The sequence below is a fragment of the Homo sapiens genome, chromosome 6, assembly GCF_000001405.40.
Source record: "Homo sapiens chromosome 6, GRCh38.p14 Primary Assembly".
NCBI lineage: Eukaryota > Metazoa > Chordata > Mammalia > Primates > Hominidae > Homo > Homo sapiens.
In genome coordinates, this window is record NC_000006.12 from 104,816,874 (window position 1) to 104,838,406 (window position 21,533).

The following is a 21,533-nucleotide window of genomic DNA, read 5'->3' on the forward strand; positions in this document are numbered from 1 at the left end:
GGATATGAGACACGGAGTCAACGGAAATTATTTTAGAGCTTTAAGATTTAATGACAGCCCTGCTAGGTTTCAGACTTGCATGGGGCCTGTAGCCTTTGTGTTTTGGCCAATTTCTCCCACTTGGAGCATTCACTCAATGCCTGTACCCCCACTGTATCTTGGAAGTAACTAACTTGTTTTTGATTTTACAGGCTCATAGGCAGAAGGGACTTATCTGTCTCAGATGAGACTTTGAACTGTGGACTTCTGAGTTAATGCTGAAATTAGTTAAGACTGGAGGACTGTTGAGAAGGGATAATTGTATTTTCCAATACGAGAAGAACATGAGATTTGGGAGGGGTTAGGGGTGGAATGATATGGTTTGGATTTGTGTCCCCGCCAAATCTCACGTCAAATTGGAAGAGAGGTCTGGGGGGAGGTGACTGGATCATAGGGGCAAATTTCTCCCTTGCTGCTCTTGTGATAGTGAATGAGTTCTCACAAGTCCTGTAGGTTTAAAAGTGTGTGGCACTTCCCCCTTGCACACACTCTCTCTCTCCTGCTGCCATGTGAAGAAGCTGTCTGATTCCCCTTAACCTTCCACCATGATTGTAAGTTTCCTGAGGCCTTCCAGTCATGTTTCCTGTTAAGCCTGCAGAACTGTGAGTCAATTAAAACTCTTTTCTTCATAAATTACCCAGCCTCAGGTAGTTCTTTATATCAGGTAAAATGAATTAATATAGAGGAGAAAGAAAGATGGAACTGATAAACTATCCAATGAATCTGTCTTTGTAGAAGAGAGTAGGAAGAGATATTTTATAGGAGCATATAGATGAAGAAACGCTGATTCATACAAAGAAAACTGAGCAAACCCAATTATTAACTTCAAGAAAAACAGCCATCCTCAAAAAAGAACGTTATTACAGTTCACTACTTGACTGAGCAGTAAACAATACCTTCTTAACTATATATAACCAATACTGTCTAATCAAAACTTATAAATCATCATTTACCATAACAAGAAATGATTAAATAATATCTAAAAGTCATAAACTGAGAAAGAGCCATGGAAGCTTGTTATTTGGAAATACATATTAAAGGAAAAGTTTAGAAAGTTGAAAATTGTTGCCTCTGGTGATCATGACTTAACAAAGAGGAAGGGTGGTTTAAGGGACTAGCATTCTTATCAGAAGATTTTAATACTAATAAAATATTTTTAAGACATAGTATTCACATGTCTATTTAAATTTACTTCTACCCCAACATGAATTCTATAATCTATGTAATAAAAACACTGTTATATAAAACTATATTATAATCTATGTAATTCCTCTAAACTGAAAACAAGTAGTCAACTATAGCTTTCAAATATAAGAAAAACAAGTATTTCAGTCACTATTTTATAAGAGAAGGACTACGTGGGCCTTCTAATCATGGCTTTCCTCTGATCATTGACCTAGAAGTGGTGTCTGTAAGGTCCCAAAATAGGAATGAGATGGAAAGTAGCAACGGTGTTCACTACTGTTATAGAAATTACAGAAAATAAGCCTGCCAACCAAAAAAAGCCCAGGACCAGATGAATTCACAGCTGAATTCCACCAGATATACAAAGAAAAGCTGCTACCATTCCCATTCAAACTATTCCAAAAAATTGAGAAGGGACTATTCCCTAACTCATTCTATAAAGCCAGCATCATCCTGACACCAAAACCTGGCAGAGATACAATAAAAAAAAATGTCAGACCAATATCCTTGATGAAATTGATGCAAAAATCCCTAACAAAAACACTGGCAAGCAGAATCCAGCAGCACATCAAAAAGCTCATACACCATAATCAAGTAGGCTTCAACCTAAGGATGCAAGGTTGGTTCAACATACACAAATCAATAAATGTAATTCAGCACATAAGCAGAACTAAAGACAAAAACCACATGATTATCTCAACAGATGCAGAAAAGGCTTTTGATAAAATTCAACATCGATTTATGTTTAAAAAAAAAAACTCTTAAAAAACTAGGTATTGAAGGAACATACCTCAAAATAATATGAACCATCTATGACAAACTCACAGCCAGTATCATAATGAATGGGCAAAACCTGTAAGCATTACCTTGAAAACCAACATAAGACAAGGATGCCATCTCTCACCACCCCTATTCAACACAGTATTGGAGGTTCTGGCCAGGGCCATCAGGCAAGAGAAAAAAACAAAAGGCCAAACAAATAGCAAGAAAAGAAGTCAAACTATCCCTGTTTGCAGATGACATAACACTATATTTGGAAAATACCACAGTCTCAGCCCAAAAGCTTCTTAAGCCAATTAACAACCTCAACAAAGTCTCAGAATACAAAACCAACGTGGAAAAATCACTAGCATTCCTATACACCAAGAGTCAAGCTGAGAGCCAAGTCAAGAATGAACTCCCATTCACAACTGCCACAAAAAGAATTAAAAACCTAGGAATACAACTAAGTAGGGAGGCGAAAGATCTCTACAAGGAGAACTACAAACCACTGATCAAAGATATCAGAGATGACACAAACAAATGGAAAAACATCCCATTCTCATGGACAGGAAGAATCAGTATCAATAAAACGGCTACACTAACCAAAGCAATTTATATAGATTCAATGCTATTCCTATTAAACTACAATTGATGTTCTTCACAGAACTAGAGAAAACTATTTTAAAATTCATATGGAACCAAAAAAGAGCCCAAACAGACACGGCAATCCTAAGCAGAAAGAAAAGTTGGAGGCATCACGCTACCCAACTTAAAACTATACTACAGGGATATAGTGAGCAAAACAGTATGGTACTGGTACAAAAACAGACACATAGACCAATGAAACAGAATCTAAAACCCACAAATAAGACCGCACTCTGACAACTATCTGATCTTCCACAAACCTGACAAAAACAAGCAATGGGGAAAGGATTCCCTATTCAATAAATGGTGTTGTAATAACTGGTTAGCTATAGGAAAACAACTGAAACCCTTCCTTACACCATATACAAAAATTAACTCAAAATGGATTAAAGACTTAAATGTAAAACCCAGGCCAGGTGCAGCAGCTCACGCCTGTAATCCCAGCACTTTGGGAGGCCAATGCTGGTGGATCACTAGGTCAAGAGTTCGAGACCACCCTGACCAACATGGCAAAACCCCATCTCTACTAAAAATACAAAAATTAGCCGGGAATGGTGGCACATGCCTGTAATCCCAGCTACTCAGGAGGCTGGGGCAGAAAAATCGCTTGAACCCGGGAGGTGGAGTTTGCAGTGAGCCGAGATTGTGCCACTGCACTCCAGCCTGGGCAACAGAGTGAGACTCCGTCTCAAAAAAAAAAAAAAAAAAAAGTAAAACCCAAAACCATAAAACCCTGGAAAACAATGTAGGCAATACCATTCAGGACTTAGGCACAGGCAAAGATTTCCTGACAAAGATGCTAAAAGCAATTGGAACAAGAGTAAAAATTGGAAGTTGGGATCTAATTAAACTAAAGAGTTTCTGCATAGCGAAAAAAACTATCATCAGAATGAACAGAAAACCTACAGAACAAGAGAAAATTTTTGCAAACTATGCATCTGACAAAAGTCTAATATCCAGCATCTATAAGGAACTTAAACAAATTTACAAAAAAACAACAACCCCATTAAAAAGTGGGCAAAGGACATGAACAGACACTTCTCAAAAGAAGACATATAGGTGGCCAACAATCATATGAAAGAAAAGCTCAACATCACTGATCATTAGAGAAATGCAAATCAAAACCACAATGAGATACCATCTCACACCAGTCAGAATGGATATTATTAAAAAGTCAAAAAACAACAGATGCTGGCAAGGTTGCAGAGAAAAAGGAAGGCTTAAACACCGTTGGTGGGAGTAAATTATTTCAGCCATTGTAGAAGACAGTGTGGTGATTCCTCAAAGACCTAAAGACAGAAATACCATTTGACCCAGCAATCCCATTACTGGGTATATACCCAAAAGAAATATAAATCATTCTATTATAAAGATACATGCACACATATGTTCACTGCTGCACTATTCACAATAGCAAAGACATGGAATCAACCTAAATGCCCATCGATGGTAGACTGGATAAAGAAAATGAGGTACATATACACCACGGAATACTATGCAGCCATAAAAAAGAACGTGACAATGTCCTTTTCAGGGACATGAATGGAGCTGCAGGTCATTATCCTTAGCAAACTAACACAGGAACAGAAAACCAAATACCACACGTTCTCTCTAATAAGTGGGAGCTCAGTGATGAGAACACATGGATACAGAGGGGAACAATATACACTGAGGCCTTTCAAAGGGGTGGAGGATGGGAGGAGGGAAAGGATGAGGCAAAATAACTAATGTATACTAGGCTACCTATGTGATGAAATAATCTGTACAACAAAGCCCCGTGACACAAGTTTACCTATGTATCAAACCTGTATTTGTACCCCTGAACTCAAAATAAAAGTTAAAAAAAAAGAAATTATAGAAAATAAGTCTTCAACTCTCAACTGGCTCAGGAGAGATGAAAGCCAATACACTGAAAATATATATTAGCATGCAATTAAAACCTAACAATCCAGAAACTGTAATAAAGAAATTTTAACAAAATATACTATTTATAAAAACTATACTGTTAAAACTATGTAATGATATAACGTAAATAACACTAATATGTACCCAGACAGTGTGCTAATAAGCATTTATCATTTCATTTAATGCATCTTTCGAGGAAGGTGATATTCTCTTCACTTTTATAAGCAGGAAATTGAGTGTCAAAGAGATCATGTAATTTGTACCCCAACACATAAGTAAACATTGAAGCAGGGATTAAAACCCAAGTCCATGTTCATAATCACTATTCTATTTATCAAAAAGTAGGCATTATAATTCTTCTGAATTCAGATTACTAAATAGTATTTATTTAGTACTAACGGCTAATCTGACACATCTTCATAAACTACATTAATCACAGATAATCTAGTAACTCCCTACTAAATAACTATTACAGAGTCAAGCTTAAGTACCTAGACAGCTACTTGTGTATGGTTTTAAAGTAATGCTATTTTCATGCCTGTAACCACAGGGCTTTGGGAGACCAAAGTGGGAGGAGTGCTTGAGGCCAGGAGTTCAAGACCAATCTGGGCAACATAGTGAGACCACCATTTCTACAAAAGAAAGTCATAATTTTTTTTTTAAATTATCCAGGCGTGGGCCGGGCGCGGTGGCTCACACCTGTAATCCCAGCACTTTGGGAGGCTGAGGCAGGTAGATCACAAGGTCAGGAGATCAAGACCAGGAGATCAACACGGTGAAACCCCGTCTCTACTAAAAAAAAAAAAAAAAAAAATACAAAAAAATTATCCAGGCGTGGTGGCAGGAGCCTCTAGTCCCAGCTACTCAGGAGGCTGAGGCAGGAGAATGGCATGAACCCAGGAGGCAGAGCTTGCAGTGAGCCGCGACCACGCCACTGCACCCCAGCCTGGGAGGCAGAGCAGGACTCCATCTCAGAAAAAAAAAAAAAAAAAAATTAGCCAGGTGTGGTGGTGTGTGCCTGTAGCCCTAGCTACTTGGGAGGCTGAGGCAGAAGAATCACTTGAGCCCAGGAGTTCAAGGTTACAGTGAGCTATGATCACACCACTACGCTCCGGCCGGTTCAACAGAGTGAAACCCTGTCTCTAAATAAAAAATAAAAAAAGTAGGCCGAGCGCGGTGGCTCACACCTGTAATCCTAGCACTTTGGGAGGCCGAGGCAGTCGGATCACTAGAGGTCGGGAGTTCAAGACCAGCCTGGCCAACATAATGAAACCCCGTCTCTACTAAAAATACAAAAATTAGCCTGGCGTGGTGGTACATGTCTGTAATCCCAGCTACTCAGGAGGCCGAGGCAGGAGAATTGCTTGGACTCAGGAGGCGGAGGTTGCAGTGAGCGGAGATCGCGCCACTGCACTCCAGCCTGTACCGTGTCTCCAAAAAAAAAAGTAATGGTATTTTAAACCATGTATTTTTTATACTGCTTCGTATTTCTATTTATACTGTAGCGCTTACAATATAAAAACAATTTATTCATTAGACTAACATACTCCTCTACTGTTCTCATCAAACTGGTGAGACAAACTTGAAGCAAATCATAGAAAAAAAACATGATTTACAATATAAACTGTCATAGCCTTGTATTTGGTTGGTGAAAAAGTAATTGTGGTTTTTGCTATCACTTTTAATATATCCTACAAAGACATTAATTTTTTTTTAAGAGAGAAAAACACTTGATTAAAAAATCGGAGGCTGGGCACAATGGTTCACACCTGCAATCCCAGCACTCTGGGAGGCCAGGTGGATCACCTGAGGTCAGGAGTTCAAGATCAGCCTGGCCAACATGGTGAAACACTGTCTCTACTAAAAATACAAAAATTAGTTGGGCATGGCAGTGGGCACCTGTAATCCCAGCTACTTCGGAGGCTGACGCAGGAGAATCGCTTGAACCTGGGAGGCAGAGGTTGCAGTGAGCCAAGATCATGCCACTGCTCCAGACTGGGCAACACAGCGAGACTCTGTCTCAAAAAAAAAAAAAAATTGGAAATTACTTGTTCCAGCATTTTATTTTCCATTCATAAATCTTTCTACTTTTCTATTTTTTTAAAAAAAACAGCCCGATGAAGATCCTCAAAATATGCAACTATTAAAAGAAACATATTTTTAAAGTTTTCAATAGCGCACTTGCAGATAAAATGTTGCTCCAATCCCCCAATAAAAACCAAAAATAAAAAAACAGAGAAAAACCTACTTCCCTTAGAATTAGGATAAAAATGTATAAAGGAATTTTAAAGAATAAAAAATTGCCTTGCAGCACTGAAATGAGTGCAAAGTCATCTATCTTTGTGAATTAAAAAAAAAAAAAGATGTTTGCTGGCGGTTTTCTTTTTGTAAAAGCTCTAAAATAGGAAGGGAAAGGAAAATGCAGAATTCAGTCAATTATTGATTAAATGGCCTAATAAGAAAAGCTGCTAGGAAGTCACAGACAACCTGAATCACAGTTTTAAGAAACTCTCCAGTCATTTCTCTGAGGACAGCAAGTAAAGATAATTCAAGTACAGAAGAAACCTTAAATGTACTCACCTCAACAATTAGCAGACTGCACAGTGATGAGTAGTAAGGATAATAAGGAAGGTCTACTTAGTGTTAGGCGAGGGGACAGAGGCTGTTAACACTTATCCAACCCATCCCATTACTAGTCTGGCTGTTTCTACTGAGCCTTGTTCGGAAGGTGAGCCCTCCCAAGTCTCTTACTACTCCTTAATTGGACATACAGTAGTGTGCAAAATGGAGTCTCATTCTCAAATAATCCAGAGTAACAATATTTCAGTGGTAAAGCAAAAGGTCTAACCACAATAACAAATTATTTTCTTGTTGACAATACACACATACGATATTGAGATATCATGAATGATAAATAGCTATGTAGAACTATAATGATGTATTTATTGCCTGGTCTTAACAACTGGAATTTAACAACGGAGTTTCAAGACTCCACATACATTCTTCCAAAGTGCTACAAGATAATCAATGTTTTCAACTATGTGAAAACTGTTCATGTGTGCCCAAAGGTTAAAACTTAGATAGATGAAAATGTACTCTGAGCATTTATTAAGTTAAAATAAATACATAAAGGCTCTTGAAGAAACAACACTACCTGAGAGTTTTAAATTGTATCAAAGCATCAAAGCATAAGGCACAACATAATTCAAGAGAATAAATTCTGGATTAAACTTTTAAAATCCCTAAGGATTCTCAAAAGGAGAAATTTTCAGCAATAGATACAAACAGATACAACCTTTTGTAAGAATCAGCACTATCAATATACACTCCACTTAAAGATACAAAAGGAAAAAAAGTGACAAACATTTAGAAATGCAAAGAAGGCCGGGCACGGTGGCTCACACCTGTAATCCCAACACTTAGGGAGGCCGAGGCGGGCAGATCACGACGTCAGGAGATTGAGACCATCCTGGCTAACACGGTGAAACCCCGTCTCTACTAAAAAAAAAAAAAAATACAAAAAATTAGCCGGGCGTGGTGGCGGGCGCCTGTAGTCCCAGCTACGCGGGAGGCTGAGGCAGGAGAATGGAGTGAACCCGGGAGGTGGAGCTTGCAGTGAGCTGAGATGCGCCACTGCACTCCAGCCTGGGGGACAGAGCAAGACTCCGTCTCAAAAAAAAAAAAAAAAGAAAGAAAGAAATGCAAAGAAAATGGCAGAATATATGGATCAAAATGATCCTGCATTTGAGTGGTTTTGAGGCAGGAGAATAGGGTCTGCAGTCAGGGAACCTAAGGCCACTTCACCCTGACTTCCTAGAAATAAATTGGAAGGAAAACCCTAACTTTCCACGCCTAAGTAACAAAAGGACCAGCGACCTTTGCAAACCCCCACCTCTTTGCGAGGCAGATGGGAAATTGAAAGTACCACTGATTGGTTGTAAAAAGCAACCAATCAGACGTTTGCATAGGAGTCTAACTCTGTAACTTCACTTCAGCCTCGGATTGGTTGCACACAGCAACCAACCTCTGATTGGCTGCACATAGCAACCAATCAGACTAACTGAAGGTAGTTATGTGCAAGCAATCGGACTGAGGGCCAAGTCTTCAAATGCACAGAAGTGCAACTTTGTAACTTCACTTTAGCCTCTGATTAGTTGCTTCCCACAACCAATCAGATGTTTGCATAGGGGTGTGACCTTTGTAACTTCAGCCTCTGATTGATTGCAGGCCACCACTTCATTTACATGAGGCGAACACCAAGTGGCCAATGGGAAACATATATGGGGTATTTAGACCCCAGAAGATTCTGTATCCAGAACCTTGAGCAGCTGCTGGGGCCAATTCCCACCCTGTGGAGTATACTTTTGTTTTCAATAAATATCTGCTTTTGCTGCTTCATTACTTGTTTGTGTATTTTGTCCAATTCTTTGTTCAAAATGCCAAGAATCTGGACACCCTCCACCAGTTTCTTCCATCTTTCAACAAAAATCTATACCCATTATGTGCTATGCCCTCCTCTAGATAATGTGTTATGCACTACTCTAAATCAGGAACCAGGCCACACAGCAGGAGGTGAGTGGCAGGCAAGTGAACATCACTATCTGAGCTCTGCCTCCTGTCGGATCAGCAGCAACATTTGATTCTCATAGGAGCATGAACTCTGTTGTAAGCTGCCCATGAAAGGGATCTAGGCACAAGTTCCTTGTGAGAATCTAATGCCTGATGATCTGAAGTGGAACAGTTTCATCCCAAAACCATCCCCTCGATTTCTGACTGTGGAAAACTTGTCTTCCATGAAACTGGGCCCTAGTGCCAAAAAGGTTAGAGACCACTGCTCTAAATTATGTGCTATGCACGACTCTAGATACTCGAGTTACAACAATGAACAAAACAGACAAAAAAACCTGCCTTCAAGAAGTTTATAGTAGAAAGGGAAGATAAAGTGACAAGATGTAAATAAACAAAATCTGTAGTGTACTAGATGGTGATCAGTGCTATCCAGAAAAATAAACCAGGATTTTCTATGATTTGGATTCAATTTATTTTAGCAAATTTCTTGCCCCTAAAATCCCACAAATACTTCTGTGAAAAATGCACTGATCTATAAGCCATGAAGTCCAAAAAACCTAACAATTGTGATTTACAATGATGGTCATACCTTCTATTTTTAAAATTATATGGCTTCTCATTTACTTGCTAAAATTAAGCGCAGTGGCTTACAATTTACTAAATGCAAACACGTAAAAGCATGCCAACATAAATAGGTGACTGATAAATGATTACCTATGTATTTTTCAAGTTAATATACATAATTTTAAGAGCTACGCTACATTTATACATAATTTTAAGAGCTATATGCCTAAAACTGGATCGACAAAACAGACTTTTAAAAAAATTTAGAATTGCAAATTCCCTGCCCAATTCCACCCCTTCTCTCCCCACCAAAAAAAACTATCTATTCCCCTAGTCATTGATTATCTAGAATGGGGTTCCCTCCTCCTTACAGAATAAGAAACTATTGCGGAGGAACCGCAAAAGAAAAGCATAGGGGATTTTCATATGGCCTTCAAGAGATCCTTAAGAAGAAATAACATATTTCAACAGACTTCATAACCTTTCAAGTGACAAAACAATATCCTGAGTGGAAAACGAACATACAAACCTAATGTGTAGGTCAATCTCAAGTCATTTAATTGAAGGCGGTGACTAACCAAGACCACCTGTGCCCAATACACTGATAAATTACAAAGCAAGAAATCCAAGGCAGCCCTACTTTATCAATGTCAACTCTCAAAACACTGATCAAAGTAAAAAGGAATAGATATTCAATGATAAAACTCTAAGTAAAAATCAAAGTTGTGGTATTATCACTAGCTAAAAGGAGACCAAACAACAAAAAAAGTGTCCTTACTTTTTTTATTAAAAATAATTCTGATGACATGAGTTATGGCAATGCACAAATAACTTATACACTAAGTAAAACTCCCAACTCACTAATCAGTGACTGGTTTACACATGTCTTCTCTAAAAACCTGTCCACCTTCACCTATTGAGAACTTTGAATTCTTACATAGTATCCGGCAAAAATCATTATCATCTGGTTGTGTTATAAAAGTAACAGTGGTAAGAGAACTTTCTACTATTTGTTTCAACTTCTTAGAAATGATTAAAGGAGAATTCTAGCATTAGAATAAATACAATTACTCTGACCCTAGGAATATACTCTGAAATGTTAGTCTACCTACCTTTGTGCCTCAAGGCTGAATCTAATTAATGTCTGGAAAATGTTTTCAATTAAGTTTACATGGCTGTCCGTAACTGGATGAAAAACTTGGAAGCTGGCTAAAGATACCAAGAGAGCTGACTGAACATAGTTGAGCACTGTTCCTTAACAAGTCTATGATTTTAGTAAAAAAATGCAGTCAGTTCTGTCTAATATAGTCTATTATACTAAGGGTTCAACTATCATTTTATGTTGTTTGTGAAGCTTTGTATTTAGTTACATAAACTTAATAAGGTTTATTCTGATAAAAGTGAAATTTATTTTTAAATAAATTACAAATTAGTCCCTAACTAATCCTGCCATGTAATCTAACTTACAGAAATTTAGACTGAACTATTTGACAGTTCTCTACGGTTTCTAAATCCACGTTATTCTGAGAAGACTGTAATTAACATTTTTGGCAATTCAACACATTTATAAATCTTAAAGAAAAAGTTACCAAAAACTAGGTTTAATTTATGGTCCAAAAAGCGTTAATAAATTATACCTACAGAGAATAGTGTTAGGTTTTACTCAACTTGCTAAAACTGAAATTAAAAAACAACACACTGGGCCCAGCTTCTTGTATAAGCATAAATAAATAAAGGGTCTAGACACTGATCTGTGTACTTTTACAGAATCACATCACACATATTAATAACAATCATAATAGCAGTAGGTATTATTGCTGTTAAATGCCTTCCAAAGTGTTCACATTTTCCTTAATTATATCACCAGTAAAATTATATCTCCAGTTGAATAACCAAACTTTGAAATGATTTTTTGAAATCAGTATCCAAAGACATACCAGAATTCTGGTATGATACAGCTAAGAATGGAGTTTAACAGTTGATCTAAGAAAAGTTATATAAAAATAAAATTATTAAGAAGTTGTTATGATTCCTTTCATCTGATCATTATTAAATACGGATAGAAGTAGTTTAAAATCATGGTGCTATTATGCTACAATGACAAAAAACAGAGTGCACTCTTCAACTGCCCAAACCACTTCCTTCCAAGAGGAAAATGAGACCTTTATCATGTTTACCTCTAATGCAACAGCTGCATCTATATGAAATCATATTTAAGATTACTCAAGTTCTTAGTTATGACAAAAATGAATCTTCTGAATCTTTTATCCTTAAAAAATGTAATATAAATTTGAAAAAGCACTTCTTGTCATTGAAGCAAGAATATAGCATTTAGCTATATATTCTACAAAGTTTTAGGGTGCTTAGCTAGTTGCTCAAAATGTTTTCATGCACTCCTCAGATTTACTCTAAAATGAGATTAGAAGGCGAATTTCAGAGGATTTATCATCCATGCCTCTTTGAAAAGAGCTCATGTGCTTTATTTCTTAATGGAATTTTTTCCCCATTTAAAGTTTTCTATTTTATTCTATAAAATATATATAATCAGAATTATGTAAGCTCCTAAGCTTAAAAATAAAATATTGAAACTTACATGCACTGGTATATGTCTACATGGACACCAGTTCTGAACAACAAAAAGGCCATTCTGACTTGCCACTGAGTCACTAGGATACCTGACAAAGCATTATACACTCAGTGTTCAACTTATGGAAAGATATACAAATGGTTTTTAATAAATCAGTAACCTTTATCCTATAACATCATATTTCATAGCCCAGTAAATCACATGCAACTCAAGATAAAACAATACACTTATACACTGAGATGTGAATGTGTCCCAGAAATACATGAGTAATTCTGAAACAGGCAGTATTAGCACAACTATGAACACAGATTTGTAGAACTATACTTCAGCCAGGAGGAAAAGAAATAGACTAATTTTTCAAGATTCCCTCTTGTCCTAATTGAAAAAGGAATAAAGATACATACAATGATTCAGAAAATAATCAGTGCTAAGCATTCCCTTTATGTTTATATGATCATCATAGGTAACGATCCAGAAAATAATCAGTGCTAAGCATTCCCTTTACCTGTATATGATCATTGCAGGTAACTATAATTGACCAACTATGACAGAATAAATCCTGTTGGCCATTACATAATCAACCACAAGTCAACATGACTTTTTGTACCCCTCCTCCTCTACTCTGTCTGCAAAATCTCATTCTGTGAAACTCATCACCACAATGAAGTCAGACTCCCTATAAATCTTCTGAGAATACAATTGTTCAAAGGCATCTGACTATGAGGAATTCTCCATTATTTTACCACACTTGCTTTAGGTTGTAAACCATATGGAGTATATTATACTTATACCACCTAATTTTCAGTAACTTCAGAAGGCAATTCTAAATTTTTAATGCAGCCTGTAATGCACATGTTTTGAACAAGGTTTTCTTAGTAATTCTTGCTTCTATACTGGTTCAAAGCAGCTAAAATTAGCTTTTATAAATCTTTTTCTAATCTGAATCCCAGTATTTTCCTATCCAAGTTCCTGGGCAACAGGTAGGGTGTGCAAGTCTTAGTAAATGACACTCTGCTCACCTGTTATAGCAAAGGGTGTTTATATTAAAGCAGGTGCTCTTCTGTCCTCTGAGAGCTATCGGCTAGACTCATTCTCTAATATGCAATAGTGCCTTAAAAACCTGGGTCACTCAAGATTAGGACATTTCACATCTTTTTTTCCCACATAGAATACGTTTTAAATTTAATAATATTGACTCTAAGTAAAAACTAATGAGAAGAATATACTTGAAAACACTGCATTGGTTTTCAGATGATAAAAGACAAAAAATGCAAATGAACAATGGTGTCCAGAAAAAATTCCAGGAAACAGAAAAAGGATCCTATAACCCTCCATTTTTCCAACACCATATTAAACATAAGACAATGTCACCTTTGCCTACTATCTTGAAGAAGTCCAATATTCTGTGAATTGTGATCATACATCCTGAAACCAGGTTAAGGAAAAAGTGTTTGAAGAGATAAAAATCCAGATTCCACTAGGAATTCTCCCTTCTCCCAACAAGAGATAAGACTCAGAAAGTTTGTAACCAAAAAAATAAACAAACTTTGTATCCTTGTAGTTAATGGTACTGACTTTGAGTTGGTTTTGTTGTTGTTATTATGGTCAGCAAGAAAATAAATTACATTCTTTTTTTTTTTTTTTTTGAAGAGACGAGGTGCAGTGGTAATTCACTAGCATGATCCCACAAACAGACCAGCATGGGGGTTGTGACTTGCTGTTTCTGACCTGTTCTGGTTCACCTCTCCTTAAGCTATCTGGCATCCTGAGAGGTCACCATATTCATGCCAAACTTAGTGTGGACATCCAAGCAGCATAGTGCACTACAACCCACAACTCCTGGGCAAAGGGATCTCTCCACCTAATCTTGACCTCTCCACCTCAGCCTCCCAAACAGCTGAGACTACTGGCACACACCTGTACATTCTATTACCAATAATGTTAAATGTTAAAAAAAGAAAAAACTTAAAAACATAAACAAGGTAGAAAATTACAGCAAAGCAGAAATTCAATCTAAAATCTTAAGCCCTCCATCTTTATATAAGGCAGTAAAGTCTCTTAATGAGAGAGAAATAGCAATTTCAAAAGCCAAATGTCTGGACACAGGAATAACAGGAAAGCATTGTCATAAAACAAATGCATGATTTTAGAAACCTAGAGTAAGAAAGAAAATAGCCAGGCACGGTGGCTCACACCTGTAATCCCAGCACTTTGGGAGGCTGAGGCAGGCAGATCACTTGAGACCAGGAATTCAAGATCAGCCTGGCCACCATGGCAAAACCCCATCTCTACTAAAAATACAAAAAGTAGCTGGGTGTGGTGGCACACACCTGTAATCCCAGCTACTTAGGAGGCTGAGGCACAAGGATCACTTAAACCTGGGAGGCAGAGGTTGCAGTAAGCTGAGATTATGCCACTGCACTCCAGCCTGGGTGACAGAGCGAGCCTCCGTCTCAAAAAAAAAAAGAAAAGAAAAGAAAGAGGCCGGGCACGGTGGCTCACGCCTGTAATCCCAGCATTTTAGGAGGCCGAGGCAGGCGGATCATGAGGTCGGGAGATTGAGACCATCCTGGCTAACGCAGTGAAACCCCATCTCTACTAAAAATACAAAAAATTAGCCGGGCGTGGTGGCCGGTCCCTGTAGTCCCAGCCACTCGGGAGGCTGAGGCAGGAGAATGGCATGAACCCGGGAGGCGGAGCTTGCAGTGAGCCGAGATGGCGCCACTGCACTCCAGCCTGGGGAACAGAGTGAGACTCCATCAAAAAAAAGAGAGAGAAAGAAAAGAGAAAGAAGAGAAGAGAAGAGAAGAGAAGAGAAGAGAAGAGAAGAGAAGAGAAGAGAAGAGAAGAGAGGAAGGAAGGAAGGAAGGAAGGAAGGAAGGAAGGAAGGAAGGAAGGAAGGAGAAAGAAAAGAAAAAGAAAGAAAAGAAAGAACTGTTACTTGTACCATACACAATGCAAGTAGAAAAATAGGATAACCTGACTCATACTATTAACCAGTGTCATTGCTCACTTTCCTCACTATCTAATCTCCAAAATTGAGGCTTAACAGCAAAAGATAAAATAAAATATGAAGTTTTATTTGCTAAAACTGAGAACAGAATGAACATTATAAATGTTAAAATTAAATGTGAATATACTACATTTAAAAATTTAGTATGTTTGGCTATTAAAACCTATGAATTAGAAATAAAATCAAAATGCAAATTACAAATATTTTGAACAGATATAAAAGCACTATTTTCCTGTTTTTTGTTGTTGTTGTTGTTGTTGTTGTTGTTTGATACAGGCTCTCACTCTGTCACCCAGGCTGGAGTATAGTGGCACAATCTCAGCTCACTGCAACCGCTGACTGCTGAGCTCAAGCAATTCTCCCACTTCAGCCTCCGGAACAGCTGGGACTACGGATGCATGCCACCATACCCAGCTAAATTTTTTTGTATTTTTAGTAGAGATGGGGTTTCGCCATGTTGCCCAGGCTGAACTCCTGAGCTCAAGAGATCCACCCATCTCAGCCTCCCAAAGTGCTGGGATTACAGCTGTGAGCCACGGCTCCCAGCCCAAAAGCACTATTTTCTATTTCTTCTAACCATACAGAATATATTTATCAGAAGTCCATATGGGCCAGGTGCAGTGGTTCACGCATGTAATCCCAGCTACTCGTGAGGCTGAGGTGGAAGGATCATTTGAGCCCAGGAGTGTAAGGCTGCAGTGAGCTAGGATCCCACCACTGCACTCCAGCCTGGGCAACAAAGTGAGGCCCTGTCTCAAAAAAAAAAGTCCATATGATGCAGAAAATAAGATTTTGCTATAATGCTTCATGTTCCCAAATATGCACAATGAAAAACTTTTCATGAAATCAATTTTAAAAAACAAACACATGCAGCTTAAAGTCCTCATGGCTCAACTTACCGTCTTGTGACCGTTCTGGCAGGCAACATGCAGTGCTGTCTGCCCCATGGCATCCTCAACATCAACATCACTGACATGCTGCACAAGGTCATGGAGTAGTTCTGTCCGCCCATTCACAGCCAGCCAATGTATCTGTGAAGCCATTTAGTTACTTAACATTTGTGTAATAGTGTTTTATATAAAAACAGCAGATAAATAATGTTATTTCTCAGCTGGGCGTGATTTGCACATGCAAATCTAAAGGTGTTTTAAGTCCATGTAATGGTTTAAAACTAAAGGTATTTTAAGTCCATGTCATTTTTTTCCTTTTTTAAATTTGTTTAAGTTTTATTTACAGGTTTGGGGGTTTTTTAGAGTTGGGGTCTTGCTATGTTGTTCAGGTTGGACTCAAACTCCTGGGCTCAAGTGATCCTCTTGCCTCAGCCTCCTAAATAGCTGAAATTAGGTTTTATATGAGGAAAACTTCGGTATCAAGATGCAGATTACATTACCACAGATTTCAAAATCAAGAACTCAGTGGGGCTCCAAGTGGTGACTCACGTTTGTAATCCCAGCACTTTGGGAAGTTGAGGCAAGAGGATTGCTTGAAGCAACGAGTTCAAGATCAGCCTGGGCAATGTAGCAAGAACCTGTCTCTACAAAAAATTCAAAAATTAGCTGGGCAGCCGGGCACGGTAGCTCAAGCCTCTAATCCCGGAACTTTGGGAGGCTGAGGCAGGCGGATCACAAGGTCAGGAGATCAAGACCATCTTGGCCGACATGGTGAAACCTTGTCTCTACTAAAATACAAAAAATTAGCTGGACGTGGTGGTGCGTGCCTGTAATCCCAGCTACTTGGGAGGCTGAGGCAGGGGAATCACTTGAACCCAGGAGGCGGCAGTTGCGGTGAGCTGAGATCGTGCCACTGCACTCCAGCCTGTCAACACAGTAAGACTCCGTCTCAAAAAAAAAAATTAGCTGGCCATGGTGGCATACACCTATGGTCCTAGCTTCTCAGGATGCTAAGGTGGGAGGATCCCTTGAGCCCAGGAGTTTGAGGCTATAATGAGCTATGATGGTGACACTGCACTCCTCCTACCTGTGTGACAGAATGACAACCTATTTCCAAAAAAAAAAAAATCGTTTTAAAATAACTCATAATGGTTCAAAACAGTAAGTATACTAAGCTCCCAATCATCAAATACTCTGCTTCTCAGATAATCCTGGACTCTATGCATAGTTTGTCTCTGGAGAAAAGGTGTTAGATATTTTTCTTTTCCCAGAAGCAAACATAAGTTAAAAAGTAATTAACATAGCAATGCTATATTCCTTACTTCCTGTATTTTACAAGTAACACATGTATCTTACATAAATAAAGGAGGGTAAAAAATATATAAAACACCTATAAGTCTACCACTCAAAGATAATCAATGTTAAAACTCTGGACTATGCTATCCATTAATTTTTCACATGATTTTTTTTCATTAAAAAGAAAATCATGAAATCCCTGTTTTAAAATGGCAGGTTTAATCCATGCATCAGTCTCTACTTCTTCCCTAAACCCCACGGAAATGAGAGTAAAGAGTATTTCCTTAAAAGACTAGATCCATAAAGATACAGAGGAGAGAACAGCAAGTTTTGGAAGCAAAGAAAGTAGATGATGCTTTTTATCTTGTCAGATTATACTTGTTGACTTGTCAGAATGCTACACCAGTATTAGAGAAACCCCCCAAAAAATGTGATTCAGATCACAGGACTCCCAAAAGGCTCAAGAATCAATAGTAAGTACCATGCACCTCTTGAAAAGAGGTTGAAAGTTTATTTAATAAGATTTAGAGCCTCATATCTCTACCCCTCCCCAACTGTGCAAGGCCAGTAATGGCCCCCACTCAACCAGATAGAATGCAAGAGGCTTGAAAACAGTCTCTAGATAAGAGACAACAGGCACATTGAACAAAGAATACCACACTAAAAAGGGGAGATTAAGTGCAAGTTTAAATATTGAATATTGATTTTACAAAGCATTCTTCTCTATCCAGCACGCAGACTGTTAACATCTTCCGGGCAGTTGGAAGAGTCTTCTCTGAGGAATATGACCAGTTCAAGAGTAAATGCCTAAAGAAATCGACACTGGAAAGGTCTAAGAGGCAAATGTCCAAGGAGATCATCCTACACTGAAGCCTCTAGTGAACAAAGCCTCACTCATGCTGACAGCCTTCAAATAGCTTTTTCCATTTCCACCAAACATCTGATAAACGCATCTAATTTGAAAGACAAACTACAAATTTTTTTAAAGCAAAAAGTAGGGGGAAAAAGGAACCATGAATATTCAAGAAAAAACTATATTTAATACTGTCAGAGGGAGAACATACTGATTGCATCCCTGAAATGAGAAAAGGATACTATTTTTTGAAAGAGACAAGGAAAAAAAACTCTTGGAAATTAATACTATGATAGAGACGTGCAAACTCAAAACAAGAATTAGGAGATAATATTGAGGAAGTCTCCCTAAAAGTACAAAGAAAAGAAATGAGAAAAAGTAGGAAAATTAAAGGGCTAGTGTGAATAGGTCTAACATTTAAATAATAGGAGTTGGGGAAAAAATAAAACAGAGAAAAGACAGAAAAAGAAATCATGAAAGTAATAATTTATGAATATTTCTCATAAGTTCCTATTACATGAGTTTCCAGGTTGATAGGGTCTCAATATTATCCATCGAAATGGATAAAATAAATCCAAAGCAAGACATAATAATCACAGGATTTTAGAACACTAAGGACAAAGTAGATTCTATAAGTTTCTAGAGAGAAAAATCAAAACAGGTTTCATATAAAGAATCAAGAATCCAAATAGCACTAAACTTCAAAACAAAGCTAGAACACAACAAAGCAATGCTTTCAAAATTCTAAGGAAAAATGATGTCTTGTCTAGATTGTCAGCTAAACTGTCAATTACATAATCAGACTCAAAGACTCAAGTCATATCAAACATGCAAGGTGGCAACACATCTCCCATGCACACTCTCAGGAAACTCTCAGGGTTGTGCTCCATCAGAGTGACAGAATAGTTATCAGAAAAGATGGATATGAGACCCATATAACAAGAGAACCCAAAGCAAGAAAAAAGCAAAAGGAATCCCCAGATGATGAGACATTCCAAACAACTGTGCAGCAGACCTAGGTATCAACCAATCCAGCCAAGAGAGCACAGAAGTCTCCGTAAGAGACTCCTTCAAGACATAATCAAGCACATGAAAGGTACTGAATACATATTAAGAGGATATTTACAAAGCTGAGAGAGACCTTGGAATTGAATTAGTAAAAAGTTATAAGAAAACTTTAAAGTAATAAAGTTGCAGTAGGGCAAGAAACAAATACAAAAGACATACAAACTGCGAAGAAAGAAATAAAGGCCTGGCGCGGTGGCTCACACCTGTAATCCCAGCATTTTGGGAGGCCGAGGCGGGTGAATCACCGGAGGTCAGGAGTTCAAGACCAGCCTGGCCAACAAGGTGTAACCCCGTCTCTATTAAAAATACAAAAATCAGCTGGGCATGGTGGCACACACCTGTAATCCCAGCTACTAGGGTGGCTAAGGCAGGAGAATTGCTTGAATCCAGGAGGCAGAGGTTGCAGTGAGCTGAGATTGCGCCACTGCACTGTAGCCTGGGTGACAGAGTGAGACTCTGTCTAAATAAATAAATAAACAAATTACTGTCTCTACGTGCAGACAACATGACTGTCTATGTAGAAAATCTCAAGCAATTTGCCCAAAGTCCCCCAGAACTAATAAGTGAGTTCAGCAAGATTGCAAAACCAAAAACCAATTGCATTTCCATCTGAACATGCATAAACTCAAATTAAAAACACAAGGCCATTTATAATTATGCCAAAGAAAATGAAACAGTTATATGCTTACCAAAACATGCACAAAATCCCCACTGTGCTGTACAAAATTCTAATGAATAAAATCAAAGACCTAAGTAAGTGTGGAGATATACTGTGTTTATGGATTAAAAGACTCAATCAACACAGTAAAGATAACAATTCTCCCCAAATTGACCTATCAGTTTAAAGCAACTCCAATCAAAATCCCAGCAAGGTTTTTTTGTAGACACAGACAAGTTTATTCTAAAATTTATATGGAAAGGCAAAGGAATCAGAATGGCTAACACAATCTTGACAAAGTGAGAGGAATTATTCTACCTGGTATTAAGACTTACAGCTACAGTAATCGAGACAGTGTGGTATTAGCAGAGAGATTAGCAGAGACACACAGATCAGTGGAATGAATATAAAGTCCACAAGTGGGTCCACACAAATATGCCCAACTGATTTTTGAAACAGATGCAAAAGCAAATTCATGTAGGAAGGACAGCCTTTTCAACAAACAGTGCTAGTACTGGACATTCATAGGCAGAAAAAAAAGAGTAAACCTTGACCTAAGCCTCATAACTTATGCAAACAGTAACTCAAAAGAGATCATAGACTTAAATGTAAAACACAGAAACATAAAACTTGTAGAAAAAAATATATGAGACAATCTTCAGGAGTGAGTGCTAGGCAAAGAGTTCTTGATACCAAAAGCATGATCCATAATGCAAAAAACTGATCAATTTGACTTCAAAGTTAAAAAACTTTTGCTCTTCAAAAGACCCTCTTAACACCACTATTAGAAACAGTACTGGAAGACCTAGCTAGAGCAATCAGGCAAAAGAAAGAAATAACGGACATTCATATTAGAAAGAAAGATGTCAAATTATTCTTGTCTGCAGATGATATGATCTTGTATTTGGAAAAACTTAGACTCCACCAAAAAACTGTTAGAACTGGTAAATAAGTACGTTGCAAAATATGAAATCAACATGCAAAAATCAGTAGCATTCTGATGTCAGCAGCAAACAACCTGAAAAAGAAGTAAAGAAAGTAATCCCATTTATGACAGCTACAAATAAAATAAAATACCTAGGAATCAACTTAACCAAAGAAGTGAAAGATGTCTAAAAGAAAACTATAGAAAAAGATGCAAGAAACTGAAGAAGACACACACACAAAATGGAAAAATATTCCTAAGGGTTGGAAGAATCAATACTGTCAAAATGTCCATACTACTCAAAGCAATCTATAGATTCAATGTAATCTCTATCAAAATACCAATGACATTCTTCACAGAAACAGAAAAGATAATTCTAAAATTTATATGGAATCACAAAAGATCTAGAATAGCAAAAGCCATCCTGAGTAAAAAGATCAAAACTGGAGGAATATCATTACCTGACTTCAAATCATACTACAGAGCTATAGTAACCAAAACAGCATGTTACTGGTATAAAAACAGACACACAGACCAATGGGACAGAACAGAGAACCCAGAAATAAATCCACAC

At 37.8% G+C, this 21,533-nt stretch overlaps 1 protein-coding gene across 18 annotated transcripts in view; it reads right to left on the reverse strand.

The window, feature by feature from the left end:
* HACE1 (HECT domain and ankyrin repeat containing E3 ubiquitin protein ligase 1) overlaps positions 1-21,533 on the reverse strand; it is a 131,826-nt gene that overhangs the window by 88,780 nt on the left and 21,513 nt on the right. For 10 of the 18 annotated variants that reach the window (NR_146787.2, NR_146789.2, NR_146790.2 and 7 more), the window contains one exon: positions 16,169-16,300. The exons of 5 other annotated variants lie outside the window; for them this stretch is intronic. Coding sequence is in view for 6 of the 13 variants with exons in the window: in NM_020771.4 (NP_065822.2) it covers positions 16,169-16,300 (132 nt within the window). In the remaining 7 variants the exon portion in view is untranslated. Of the gene's footprint in view, positions 1-7,940; positions 8,035-16,168; positions 16,301-21,533 lie in introns of all 18 variants that reach the window. 3 more of the 18 variants (NR_146788.2, NR_146792.2, NR_104424.2) reach the window with 1 other exon arrangement.